We start from the raw sequence: 14,329 nt of genomic DNA, 5'->3' as shown, positions 1-14,329 counted from the left end.
TAAGTTAAGTCAGTTCTGCTGTAATGCTTGTATTGAAATGCAAATTTGTTCCAATGGAATTAATATATTAATATTAATATCTTTGAGCATACCATTTGACCATAATGTGAGCTTTGCATTTGCTTATGTGCATTTTCATTCACAAGAAACGGCAGTGAATACAGAAAAGCGAAAGTTGCACCCAGCCTCACAGGAATACACAAGCACACACATGCAGGTACATGCCCCAACCGCCTACCAGAGACCTCAATTGACTGTGTGTGTTCTTTTTTTTGTTTGTTTTTGAGATGGAGTTTTGCTCTTGTTGCCCAGGCTGGAGTGCAATGGCGTGATCTCGGCTCACGACAACCTCCGCCTCCTGGGTTCAAGCGATTCTACTGCCTCAGCCTCCCGAGTAGCTGGGATTATAGGCATGTGTCACCACGTCCGGCTAATTTTGTATTTTTAGTAGAGATGGAGTTTCTCCATGTTGGTCAGGCTGATCTCGAACTCCGACCTCAGGTGATCTGCCTGTCTCAGCCTCCCAAAGTGTTAGTATAACAGGCGTGAGCCACTGCACCTGGTCCACTGTGTGTGTTCTGAGTCTTACCCCTAAAATCTGGCTTTAAGCTGGATTTTACTTTACTATGTTTTTCTTTTTAAAATTATTATTTTTTATTAACTTGTTTTTAATTGACAAATACTAATTGTGTGTATAAATGTATAAACAGGGTACAGTGTGATGTTTTGCTGATCTGATTTTAGATAACCTTCCATTCACCACTTCACAATAATTCACAAACTGCAACCCCTCCAATGCCCACTTCCATGAGAAAACACTAGGGCTTTTTCAAAGTCAAAGTGTCATTTTTATTTTAGAATTTCTGGATTTCTTAACCATCAACATGTATGGAACTGTGTTACCATTGTTATTTAGGTTCTTTTTATTTTTTTTAATGTACCACTGAGAAAATTTTAAGTGTTGTACCCTAATCCTATTTTCCTCTAAGTCCTGTGGTTTTTTTAATCTGTGAATTTTTATCAGCATAGTGATTTGAAGAATGCGTGTGTTGGCATTATAGCACAACAGACTGTATATGCTGCCCCTTACGAAAAACATGGCAAATGCAATGGCAAATGCAAGACATGGCAAATGCAAAACTGGTAGCCTTGCTTTTGTTTTGTTTTTAACCTAATTAAGATCATAGTATATGTATAATTTCTTTTTTCTTTTTTTTTTTTTTTTTTTTTTTAGACAGAGTCACTCTGTCACCCAGGCTGAGTGCAGGGGCACGATCTCAGCTCACTGCAACCTCTGCCTCCCAGGCTCCCGAATAACTGGGATTACAGGCAAGCGCCACCACGGCCCCACTAATTTTTGTAGTTTTAGTAGAGACAGGGTTTCCCCATGTTGACCTCAGGTGATCTGAGGAGTTCTGTCAGTCTCCCAAAGCATAATTTCTTATGATTTTTTTTTTTTTTTTTTTTTTTTTTTGGAGATGGAGTCTGGCTCTGTCACCCAGGCTGGAATGCAGTAGTGTGATCTTGGCTCACTGCAACCTCCGCCTCCCAAGTTCAACCAATTCTCCTGCCTCAGCCTCCCAAGTAGCTGGGATTACAGGTATGCGCCACCTGCCCAGCTAGTTTTTGTATTTTTTAGTAGAGACAGGGTTTCACCATGTTGGCCAGGTTGGTCTGGAACTCCTGAGTGCAAGTGATCTGCCCACCTCGGCCTCCTATAGTGCTGGGATTACAAGAGTGAGCCACTAGGCCCAGCCTAAATCCTCTTTTAAGAGTATCTCATAGTAATCATTACCCCTTTAAGGTACTTTTTAATTTGGGACTATTATAAGGGATACTTTTGATGGGAATCTTTGTTTGTAATGTTATTTCTAATATTGAGTAAGAGTTTAGAATACATTTCAAGAAGTAGAATCATAAGGTCAAAGGCTATGAACATTTGATACATACTGCCAAATCGACGTCCAAAATGGTTGTATGATTTTACACTCCCGGCAGTACTGTACCAATAGAACAGTGGTAGAGTTTCCACATCTTTATGATGCTGAAACAACAAAGACAAAAAATTTCATTAAAATGAAAAAACGTGTCCAGTTATATGAATGGCTTTCTTTTTTGAAAAGATACACAGTGCTAGGCATCTGGGAATTTAAAAATATATAATTATGTGATATGGTCAAGAAAATGTTCAGCTTATCTAGTAATAAATGTTTTCCTAGGTAGCTGCATGTTGCTTGCATATTTTGTATATTTAATAAAAATGACAAATTTGAGTATCTTTAATAATGAAAAATCAACATCTATTTTGAATACATGAAGTAATTCAAACAGTCAAATACTTGACACACCTGCAAATAATTGCTTATATTGACATGATCTCTGTAATTCCTCTTACTCAGGTAAGATTTTGTTATTAGGGTGTGTCTGGTGTTATGCTAAAAATCTAATCAACATTCATTCGTTCAGTATTACCAAGTCTCTTTCCTGTGGCAAGCACTGTACTGAACACTGGATATGTATGTCTAGGAGAGACTGGGCCCAGGCTTCAGATTAGATTGAATAAATTTTCAGACACCACTGTGGAAACCCTGACTTTTTTTTTTTTTTTTTTTTGAGATGGAGTCTGGCTCTGTCACCCGGGCTGGAGTGCAGTGGCACGATCTTGGCTCACTGCAACCTCTGCCTCCTGGGTTCAAGTGATTCTTCTACCTGCACTTCCCAAGTAGCTGGGACTACAGGCGCCCACCACCAAGCCCAGCTAATTTTTTTTTTTTTTTTTTTTGTATTTTTGTAGAGACGGGGATTTCACCGTGTTGGCCGGGCTGGTCTTGAACTCCAGACCTCAGGTGATCCGCCCACCTCGGCCTCACAAAGCTCTGAGATTACAGGCGTGAGCCACCATTCCCGGCCTGGAAACCCTGACTTTTAAAAAGATTTTAAGCATTTTTTAAAAGATTGCATGGATTCTGTTGTCTGGATGTCCCATAAGTCACTTAGGCAATCCTTATTGTTCAATGTTTAACTTGATTCCAATATTTCACTATGACTAAAACTGCCGTGGACTCCTTGTAACTAAATCTTTAATGCTCACCTATCATTATTTTCTTATGATAACTTCTCAGCAGAAAAAATGGCTGAGTAAAGTGATATATGCATTTTTTAAATCTTTTGACGCCTGTTACAAAATTGCCCTTTGGAAAAGTTGTATCAAATACTGTCTCTGGTAGTGTGAAGATGCCCGTTTTGATTGGGTTCTAGATTAAGAGCTATTCTAAGAATTCTTTTGACACACACACACACACACACACCAGAAACTGCTACCAAAATTTCTTGTCTTCTTTAAAATAGTCACTAGACTTAAAAGCTGGGGCCTGAACTTGATGCAAATGGTAGTCATATTGACTAGGATAATAAAGCACTTTCTAGTAGGGATCTAGCCGTGGCTTTGCCATTAATTAATTGGTGAACTTGTACATACTTGTGTTTTATCTCTGACTGAGTTTTTTTCATCTTCTAAATAAAAATGTCAAATTTGGTGATTTCTGTTGGTTTCCTCCAAGCCTACAGTTGTATTATTCTATATGTATTCTGTCCTGGATTATGTAAATTTTGACTAAGGAAAGCTTGTGGGTATGACTGTTGTCATGAATGTCCTCAAGCTCTCATTATTCCTCTGTCCCGGGAGGGAGAAGTTAGCTGTACTGGTTTCCTTGCCAGACCAAAAGGCTCTTCAGAGTGGAAGGCAGTGGGGAAGGAAGGTCTTCTTTCATGAGGCAGTCAGAAAGCAACCCCAGGAATACAATGAACTGATAATAGCTTGGAGAACTGGAGACTAGCAAGATTTCCTCCAGTCCTGGCCAGGCAGACTCAGGGTGAAGAAACCTTAGTTCCATGAATTAATAGCATGCTGAGTAGGTGTTATCATTTGGCTGTGTCCCTACCCAAATCTCATCTTGAATTATAGCTCCCATAATTTCCATGTGTCATGGAAGGGACCTGGTGGAAGGTAATTGAATCATGGGGGTGGATCCTTCCTGTGCTGTTCTTGCAATAGTGAATAAGTCTCAAGAGATCTGAAGATTTTATAAAGGGGAGTTCCCCTGCACACGCCCTCTTGTCTGCCACCATGTAAAGCATGCCTTTGCTCTTCCTTTGCCTTCTGCAATGATTGTGAGGCCTCCCCAGCCATGTGGAACTGTAAGTCCATTAAATCTCTTTCCTTTATAAATTACCCAGTCTCAGATATGTCTTTATCAGCAGCATGAGAATGTACTAATGCAGTAGGCCATCCTACCAACCAAATGTCTGTTCTGCCATCTAGTGCTAGACATGAAAATTGTGATTAATTGCACCATCCGGTTTATTGGTTAAAAAAATCATTAGGATTGTTGCTTGCTCTAGGAATAGTGAACTAATTTTTAGAATGTCCCTTGATCTCTACTGCTGGAGAGGCATTAATTAAAATCAGATGCCTCAGATGTTAGGTGTTATTAAAAGTTTTTGGACACCCTTAACACCGCTGTGGTGATCTTCCAGATATGTCCACAAAGTCATATACTCTTGATGCTCTTTTCTTTAATAATTGAAGCATAATCCTCCTCTTGGATGTGGGCTAGACCTAGTCATTCACTTGCAACAAAAAGAATATAAGAGAAGTGATGAGATGTATCTTCCACGCTTGGCTTGTTAAAATATTGTGCTTTCTGTCTTGAGTGCGTTCTCTGTCTGGAGTGACTTGAAGTAGCAGAAATTAGCTGCCATGTTTTGTGAGCAGCGCCTATGGAGAGGCCCACATGGCAAGGACCTGAAGTCTTCCAACAGCCACGTGAGTGAGCTTGGAGTGACTCTTCCACCTTATTCAAGCATCCATATGTCTGCAGCTCCAGCTGATGACTGTGATCGCAAGAGATACACTGAGCTGAGCTGGGACCACCCACTTAAGCAGCTGCAGCATTCCTGACTCTGGGCAACTGTGTGAGATAATCAATGTTTGTTATTTTAAGCTATTAAGGTCTAGAGTCCCTTGCTGTGCCGCAATTGTTAATGCAGCCACCACCACCATTTGCTAAGGCAGTGCTTAACCTAAGTTGCATCAGAATCACCTGGAGAGCTGATTAAAACTCAAGTTCCTGGGCCTCAGTCCCAGAAATACCAATGCAGTAGGCTTAACATGAGGCCCGAGCATTTGCATTTCTAACAAGCTTCCAAGTAGTGCTGATGCTACTAGTGTGGAGATCATCCTTTGAGCGACAAGACCTTTATCTGCTTTCCAGAAAGACTTGCCGTGAATATGCTGTTCACAGCAGGGTAAATCTTTTCCATGGCACTTTTCTGGGAAATGTTTCTAGCTCCCCCAATCTAACTGGAGCCTCTGCTTCCCAGCATTGATGGGAACGACAGTTAATACTTACAATGGTTATTTTTGAGGCTTCTAAACCTGCTGGGCTTTCGGTAGACATTCCAGCCACTAGTCAATTATCAGCTCATTATTTTCCAATACAATTTCCCTCCCTTCTTATCTTCTATTGGCAGACTCTTTGCTAACCTCTGGTTTGGTCTTGTGCTATCTGGGAACCTCAGATACAGGCAGAAGGAGCTAAAATCTTTGATTGACCCCTAGAATAAGCTGTGAGCTGAAGATTTTTTGTATTCTTTTCCTGATGCAAGTCACCACAGTTAGAAGTGAGAGAGCAAAAACTCCCTGATTGGAACTAGGAATCAGCAAGGTATAGATTCATGCTCTATAGTTTCTTCTTCAAAGCATACCCCTGCCTTTATCTTACCAGTGTGTTTCATTTGCAATGTCTTATGAATTTGGCAAATTATGAAATCAAAATTGAGGCTGAGAATTTCATGTCTTTCTGACCTCATCCATTATCCATTTCTTTTTTGAACCTAAAAGATGCTTTTTCCCTACTTAGTGTAGGAGTTTGCAATTTGATGGAGGAATCAGAAAAGAGCCTCAGCATGGGTAGTACACATAATGCTAGGCAAAGGGTATAGGTAATAATTATCAGAGAGTTTCACAACTGAGAGAGCAAGCAAGAGTGGCCTTGGTATGCTAAAGCAAATGGGGGAAAGCCTCCTGAAGGAGATGGGATTATTAAAAAATGGATAGGAATTAGATAAACAGAGAGACTGAGAAAAAATTCCAGGTAGGGGCAACTGTGAAGTGGAAGAGGGAAGCATATGTGGATGCATTACAGGATGGTGGCAAGAGGATTAATTTGACTATAGGGGATATTTTGTCTTCAAGCAGTATTTCAAGGTGAGATGGGAAAGAAAAAGCAGACCCCCCTTGCAAGGGACCCTGGACATCAGTTTTAGTGTTTTACAATTACCATCTATTGACATGGGGAACATTTTTGAGCAGGGTGATTATGAGACATGCCCTTCATTTTTTTTGTGTGTTTTTTGTGTGTGTGTGTGTGTGTATTTGTTTTGTTTGGTTTTGTTTTCAGATGGAGTCTTGCACTCTTGCCTAGGCTGCAGTGCAGTGGCATGATCTCAGCTCACTGCAGGCTCCACCTCCTGGGTTCATGCCATTCTCCTGCCTCAGCCTCCTGAGTAGCTGGGACTACAGGCGCCCGCCACCATGTCCCGCTAATTTTTTGTACTTTTAGTAGAGATGGGGTTTCACCGTGTTAGCCAGGATGGTCTCGATCTCCTGACCTCGTGATCCGCCTGTCTCAGCCTCCCAAAGTGCTGGGATTACAGGTGTGAGCCACCACACCCGACCCACTGTTTTAAGAGTGATAGGGCCGGGCGCAGTGGCTCAGGCCTGTAATCCCAGCACCTTGGGAGGCTGAGGTCAGGAGTTCGAGACCATCTTAGCTAACACGGTGAAAACCCGTCTCTACTAAAAACACAAAAAATTAGCCAGGCGTGGTGACACACACCTGTAGTCCCAGCTACTTGGGAGTCTGAGGCAGGAGAATCACTTGAACCCGGGAGGTGGAGGTTGCAGTGAGCTGAGATCGCGCCACTGTACTCCAGCCTGAGTGATAGAGTGAGACTCCATCTCAAAAAAAAAAAAAAAAAGAGTGATATGGCAATGGGTATATACTGAATTAATTGAGCACAAGGATAGAGAGTACTGGGGTGAGAACTGCATTAGGGAATGGTCTTAGTTTATCTGCTGTAACAGAATACCACTGATTTAAACAACAAATACTGATTTCTTACTTCTATGGAGGTTGGAAAGTCTAAGACCAAGGCGTGGGAAGAGCTGGTGTCCAGTAAGGGCACTCTTTCTGGTTTGCAGACTGCCATCTTCTTGTGTATTCTCACATATCAGAGAGAGCAGAGAGAAGGAGGCAAGCTCCCCTGTGCCCGTAACTCCACTTTGGAGGCTCCACCCTCATGCCTTCATCTAAATCCAATCACCTCGCAAAGGCCCCCAGCTCCTCGTACCATCACATTGGAGATTACAGTTTCAACATATGAATTTGGGGGAGGGGTACAAACATTCAGCCCGTGTTGTTGACACTCACACTCAACATTGAGCTCAGTCACATGTTGATTGTGAGGATAGAGGGTTCTGGAGGTGGGAACTCTGCCAGAGACACAGCTACTGTCTTTTGGGCTGGTGGCGATGAAGACCTGGACCAGGAAAGACTGGAGAGGAAGAATCATCAGATTTCGATTTCTGGTTGGTTCAGGAGACTAAAAAGGAATCATAAATGATGACTTTCCCAACTTTGCAGCATGGTGGTGTGGAAATGGGTAGAACTGAGGGGGCATGGTTGTGGATAGACAGAGAGGTCAGGTGGGGAGCTTCGAGTTCTAGGTGGAACCTTCCATGAGACAGGCATAACACTACAAATGGAGGCTTGGAATGCTCTGCTTGGAAGTGAGAAGACAAAGCATGGATGGATTGAGTATTTATGAGTTGGAAGGAGGAGGAGGTCTTGGAAGAAGCCTTCCTGTGGGCATTGGGGTATTCTAAAATGCATTCAGAGAGGGTGGATGAGATCTAGGGCAACTGTAATGCCATAGAGGTTGGGGAAAGGTCATTTTAAATGTGGACAGGAAGGAGGCTAAGGAGAGCCAAGAATACTGAAAATCTGATGGATTTGTCAACTAGGAGATCAGGGTGAGGAATCTCATGGTGTTCAATGAAATCCAGACATCAGTGGAAAAACTTTAGTGGAGTTGGCTGTAATCTTTCTTCCAGGACCTCCTGAACTCCAGGACTCCACATAAAAGTCCTTTTCTGCTCATTGGGATCAGGCTGTTAAATAAGCAAGGTCTTGTGGCGGAAAAGGGTCATCTGCTTTCCCTAATTCAATATATACAATTTTAACTTATTCTTTTCCTGCCTCCCATATCCCTAACAGGACGGCTAGTTCCTTGAGTTTGTGTTTTGCTCAATTTTTTATTTTCCTGTGGTTTCTGGCACAGTGCCTTGCACATGGTAAAAACTCAGAAAATAGCTGTTGAATTCCCCGTCTACTTAATCCTGTAAAATAAAAGCATGGGTGTGAAGATCAGGCAGGTGAAATGACCTTAACAAATTAAAACACAGCCTGGACCTCTCCTCTAGGGAGCCCAGCCTCTATGAACAGAAGCCAGAGATTTAATTACAGCCAATACAATTGTGAGCCCTATATCAACCTCAGGATCAAATCCCTGTAGCAGCTCTCGCATACTTTCTGCTGGCCTCCCTTGATGCCCTTTTTTCATGGGTATTTCTTAGCACCCCGACTTTCTCTAAGCCTCCATTTACAATTTCCAAATGCATTGTTTTCCTAGTCCTTCCAGATAGGGTCCCACAAGAAAGTGGTCCGAGCGGTCACCCCCTAGGATGGAAAGGATCCTTGGACACAGGAGCCCAACCTTTGATCCTGCACCTGCCATATGATGACTTGATTTGGGATAAGTCAGTTCCCTTCTTTAGGACTCAGTATTATCCTCTCAAAAATACATTTGATTAAATGTTTTCTGAGCATATTCATTCACCTTTAGAGAAATATCCCTAAACATTTCATAGACGTAAAAAGGACATGGTAAGGAGAGAGATGAAGAGAGACAGAAAAAATAAATCTATCCAGCAACATTTGGTTACCCAGAAAAGCATTTTCCTGTGGAGTCTCTGTGTTTTTTAAAAACATTATTGGCAGGGTGCTGTGGCTCATGGCTGTAATCCCAGCACTTTGAGAGGCCGAGGTGGGTGGATCACATGAGGTCAGGAGTTCGAGACCAACTGGCTAGTGTGGCGAAACCCCGTCTGTACTAAAAATACAAAAATTAGCCAGATGCAGTGGCACATGCCGGTAGTCCTAGCTACTCAGGAGGCTGAGGCAGGAGAAACGCTTGAACCTGGGAGGTGGAGGCTGCAGTGAGCCGAGATCATGCCACCGCACTCCAGCCTGGGCAACGGAGTGTGACTCCACCTCAAAACAACAACAACAACAAAACATTATTATGAAAATTTCAGTATATAGCAGCACTAAAATAATTTTATAGTGAAAACTCATCTACCCATTGTCTAGATTCTATTCTTTACATTTTACTAAACTTGTTTTTATCATATATGTTTCCATCTACCTATCCTCTCTCCAGCACTAATTCCCTTTTTGATTTCCTGATCCCTCTGAGGATATGACTGTCCTGAGACATCAGAGGCTTGCTGTAAAGTTATGGAAAATTGTCAGTCATTGAGGTGAAGTGAGGTTGGCCAGTTGGTAACCTGTGCCATCTAGGTTGCCCTCAGAAAGCGATTTTCTTCCTGCAGTCGTCAAAGCGTAGAGCACTTGCTAAAATAATGCATCAACTGAATTATGTAAAATATGAGAATAGGAAGACTGAGTTTCTTTGAAAACAGACACACATAATTTATAGATCCAATTAAGTAATGTCCATCAAAGCAGTCCCCAGCAGAGGTTATGTACTTACTCTAGTATTGCCGTCACACAGAGTATTTCGGGGGATTTTTATCTGGAATTCCCTCTAGAACTACATGTGTCACAAGGAAACTGGCTTTATTGTTTCTAGACAGGCCATACACTGATTAGATTCATAATCACAGCTTTGCAAAGCCCCCTTCCTCCCACCTTTCTCCCTTTAATTCCAGTTTGGCTCTAGTTCTAACTACGCATGAATTTGTATGGGCTGATAGCACAATTGTGAATTCCCTAGGTTTACGGACACCTAAGAAGACAGCCTTGGTAACAACAGGCCTCTCCTATATCTCTAATGCTGAGCAACTCATTGCCAAATGCCTGCGTCTCAGTTTCCTTCTCTGTCAAATATGGTCAAGGACTTTTACTTTGCTTTAGTGAAAGGGTTGTTGTGATTAAAAAACAAAACAAAACAAAACTGAGATGCGTAGGAACCTAAAACTCCTGTAAATATGTGAAAAATACATGGATATTTTGATTTTAACTGTGTTTAAATAAGTTGTAGGCTGGACACAGTGGCTCACCCCCGTAATCCCAGCACTTTGGGAGGCTGAGGCTGGCGAATTGCCCAAGAGTTGGAGACCAGCCTGGGCAACATGATGAAATCCCATCTCTACAAACAATTCAAAAATTAGCTAGGCCTGGTGCATGCACCTGTATCCCAGCTAATCTGGCTGAGGTGGGGGGATCACTTTGAGCCTAGGAGGTTGAGGCTACACTGAGCTGTGATTGTGTCACTGCATTCCAGCCTAGAGAGCAGAGTTTGTTTGTCTCGAAAAACAAACAAACAAAAAGGAAATAACCTTAGAATGCTAGCAATGCTGGAATTATGGATGAGTGATTATCTTTTTTTTCAAAACCGTATAAGGTGATATTATTACCTTTATCATGAAAAAGCGTATTAGAACTAAGCATCCAATATTCTTTTCACTTTTAGGACAAACAGCAAGAATAGACTTTTGTAGTAGTTACTTAGTTCAAGAAGGAAACAACGAGTCATTTGAGACAGAGATTGAAATAGCATGGAGAAGGTCCTTCTTTGTCTCCTGGTAGCATTGAGTACGATTTACGTCTTCCATATCCTAAGATCATTGGTTTACTTTGCATCTCTGAGTAACAGCTGGAATCTCTCAAATGTGGTGAGAATATTCATATATCAATAATTCTAGAAGATTTTTCTTCTACCAGTTTTGAGCTATAAGAGGATTTTGAAAGGTTAGAATAACTGTTTGTTAACCAGCTAACTCCCATCTTCTGCACAGTGCCACTTTCCAAGAGGGATTAATGGGAAGTCCCAGAATAGAATCTCCAGCCTACACATCTAGGACACAGCTTCTGTGAGCAGGAAGGTGGGAGGAGTGTGGAATGGTTAAAGACCCATTTTAGATGGAGACGAACAGAGAATGTGAAAACCAGGAAGGTGACAGCCAGAGCTGATGATAAGCCAGCTCCAAAGGAGAGGTAGCACTGAGATTCTTCAGACATGCTTTTCAGTTATATTTTACTTTTTGTTTCACTACCTTTCCCAAGGGATTGAATTTACATCAGAATTTTACTCCCAGTGGAGGTCTCTTGCATTAAAGTTTCAGAAGTTGATAGTTGTAAAAAATGAACGCCTGAAAAATCGCTACTGGTTGTATAGAGAGATAGAAATGGAAGGAGCTGGCAGGGCATGGCTGGGGGACACTGGCCGTGAATCACCTGATTCATGCAGGCTTTGTGTACTTGCTGACAGGCCGCAGCAGTCTCCGGTGGAGGGCTGGGACTGGTGTGTGTATCTGCCATGTCTCGCAGCAATGCATGTGGAGCTTGGATGCCTAGCCTCTGTTCACATAATATGGTGCCAATAAAGCATCATAATTAAAATCTTTAATTATCACAGAAACATTTCCAGCAATAAGAGGGACTGAGCTGAAGAAAGAAGTGATCTACTTCTCTCTTCTTTCCACCCAAAATAAACACAAAAGAACGCTGCATAAAATGTAACAGCTACCACAACAAAAACAAGTATATCCAGCCAAAGTTCAAAGTAAGGAAATCCTGCCAGGGCAGTAAGTGGGGGCTGAGGCTGCTGTAGCCCACAGACAATAAACAGGAGAAAAGACCTGGGTTGAAAGCTGGGATTCAGGAATTTGGCCACTGCCTGCATTTGCCCCTGGAGACAAAACCATGCCTATACATAAAGCCAAGCATCTTGACACGCTCCATGCTCCTTGACCTCATAGATTAGAAAACCCTGCCTCCCAGGCTCAGCAAAAGTGCCAGGAAGCTTGCCCTCTCTGTAGGCTTTTGGACAAAAAATAAAAATAAAAAAAGTCTCTCATAAGGAATTAAAACCACAGGTCTGAGCTCTATGTTTGCATGTGGCCTGAGTTTATGCTTCCCGTGAAGTGTGAGAACCACAAGCTGAGAAATCAACAGAAGAACTGGTCTCAGGACCATTGAAAACCTTGGTATCTTTGGCAAAAGAAAAACTGAAGCTGTTCCGAGTGATTTTTTACAACTTGGTTCCCAGGAGACTACCCCAGAATGAACGACCACAATTGAGGATGGGAAACACAGTTAGAAATTTCAGTCACTCGAAGAAAGAAACCTACCGTGTGGAAGAGGCAGTAGAACCAACAAACCCCAAACTGACCTCAAAATCATAACACTCTGAAAGATACTTACATGCTTGTTTCAAATTAAAGAAACAAAAGAAAATATTAAAATTATTATGAAAAATCTGGACAGCATAAAAATATTTGACAAAGAGCCAAATAGAATGTGAAATGAAAAATTGTAAATGTTGAAGTTAAAAACTCAATAGGAAGGATAAACTGCAGATTAAAATAGCAGAAAAACATAGTCCAGGCATACCTCAGAGATCTTGCAGGTTCTGCTCCAGACCACTGTAATAAAGCAAATATCACAGTAAAGCAAATATTACAATAAAGTGAGCTGAACAAGTTATTTGATTTCCCAGTGTGTATAAAAGTTATGTTTATGCTATACTATAGTCTATTAAGCGTGCTATGTAATTATGTCTAAAAAAGTACATACCTTAGTTTAAAAATACTTTATTGCTAACAAAGTACTAATGATCAGCTGAGTCTTCAGTGAGTTGTAATCTTTTTGCTGAGAAAGAGTGTTGCCTCAGTGTCGATGGCTGCTGACTAATCAGGATAGTGGTTGCTGAAGACTGGGGTGGTTGTGGCAATTTCTTAAAATAAGGCAAAAATGAAATTTGCCTCATTGATCCACTCTTCCTTTCATGAAAGATTTCTCTGCAGCATGCGATGCTGCTGTTTGATAGCATTTTACCTCCAGTCGAACTTCCTTTAAAATTGGAGTCAGTCCTCTCAAATCCTGCTGCTGTTTTATCTACTAAGTTTATGTAACATTCTAAATCCTTTGTTGTCATTTCAACAATGCTCACAGCATCTTTACCAGGAGGAGATTCCGTCTCAAGAAACCACTTTCTTCGTTCATCCATAAGAAGCAACTCATTATCGGTTCAAGGTTTATTGTGAGATTGCAGCAATTCAGTCACATCTTCAGGCTCCACTTTTAAGTCTAGTTCTTGGGCCATTTCCACCACATCTGGAGTTACTTCCTTCTCTGAAGTCCAGAACTTGTCAAAGTCATCCATGAGGGTTGGAATCAATTTCTTCAAAACTCCTGTTTGTGTTGATATTTTATAACCTCCTCCCAAGAATTACAAATGTTCTTCATGGCACCTAGAATGGTGAGTTCTTTCCAGAAGGTTTTCAGTTTACTTTGCCAAGATCTATCAGAGGAATCACTATCTATGGTAGCTATAGCCTTACAAAGTATATTCCTTAAATAATGAGACTTGAAAGTCAAAATTACTCTTTGTCCTGTGGGCTACAGAATGGATATTGTATTAGCAGTTATAAAAAACAACATTCATCTTATACCTCAGAGATCTTAGATAACCAGATGCATTATCAATGAGTAGTAATATTTAGATGGATATCTTTTTTTTCTGAGCAGTAGGTCTCAACAGTGGGCTTAAAATATTCAGTAAACCATGCTGTAAACAGATGTGCTGTCATCCAGGCTTTGTTGTTCCATTTGTACAGCACAGGCAGAATAGGCTTAGCATAAATTGTAAGGGCCCTAGAACTTTTGAAATGGCAAATGAGCATTGGCTTCAGCTCAAAGTCACCAGCTGCATTAACTCCTAACAAAAGTGTCAGCCTGTCCTTGAAACTTTGAAGCCAGGTATTAACTTCTCTGTAGCTATGAAATTCCTACATGGCATCTTCTTCTATCTTCCACGTTGTCTACATGGAAAATCTGTTGTTTGGTGTAGCCACCTTCATCAATAATTTTATGTAGATATTCTGGATAACTTTTTGCAACTTCTGTGTCAGTACCTGCTGCTTCATCTTACACTTTTATGTTATGGAGATGGCTTCTTT

The 14,329-nt window shown here is 41.3% G+C and overlaps 1 protein-coding gene across 1 annotated transcript in view, besides 3 other annotated features; it reads left to right on the top strand.

Annotated features, from left to right (window-relative positions):
- HS3ST3A1 (heparan sulfate-glucosamine 3-sulfotransferase 3A1) overlaps positions 1-14,329 on the top strand; it is a 107,898-nt gene that overhangs the window by 20,754 nt on the left and 72,815 nt on the right. The window lies entirely within an intron of this gene.
- Positions 4,666-5,166: an enhancer, noted in NCBI's record as "OCT4-NANOG-H3K27ac hESC enhancer chr17:13479327-13479827 (GRCh37/hg19 assembly coordinates)". NCBI's record gives its function as "activates a minimal SCP1, AML or CMV promoter by ChIP-STARR-seq in naive H9 embryonic stem cells {active_cell/tissue: H9 hESC(naive)}" and the evidence as "EXISTENCE:reporter gene assay evidence [ECO:0000049][PMID:30033119]".
- Positions 5,167-5,667: an enhancer, noted in NCBI's record as "OCT4-NANOG-H3K27ac hESC enhancer chr17:13478826-13479326 (GRCh37/hg19 assembly coordinates)". NCBI's record gives its function as "activates a minimal SCP1, AML or CMV promoter by ChIP-STARR-seq in naive H9 embryonic stem cells {active_cell/tissue: H9 hESC(naive)}" and the evidence as "EXISTENCE:reporter gene assay evidence [ECO:0000049][PMID:30033119]".
- Positions 5,210-5,504: a silencer, noted in NCBI's record as "tiled region #8608; HepG2 Repressive non-DNase unmatched - State 22:ReprW". NCBI's record gives its function as "represses a minimal TATA promoter and a strong SV40 promoter by Sharpr-MPRA in HepG2 cells {active_cell/tissue: HepG2}" and the evidence as "EXISTENCE:reporter gene assay evidence [ECO:0000049][PMID:27701403]".

This window comes from Homo sapiens, chromosome 17 (assembly GCF_000001405.40).
Source record: "Homo sapiens chromosome 17, GRCh38.p14 Primary Assembly".
In the NCBI taxonomy this organism is placed as follows: Eukaryota; Metazoa; Chordata; class Mammalia; order Primates; family Hominidae; genus Homo; species Homo sapiens.
The sequence above is the reverse complement of the archived record's forward strand: the minus strand, read 5'-3'. Positions and strand labels throughout refer to the sequence as shown.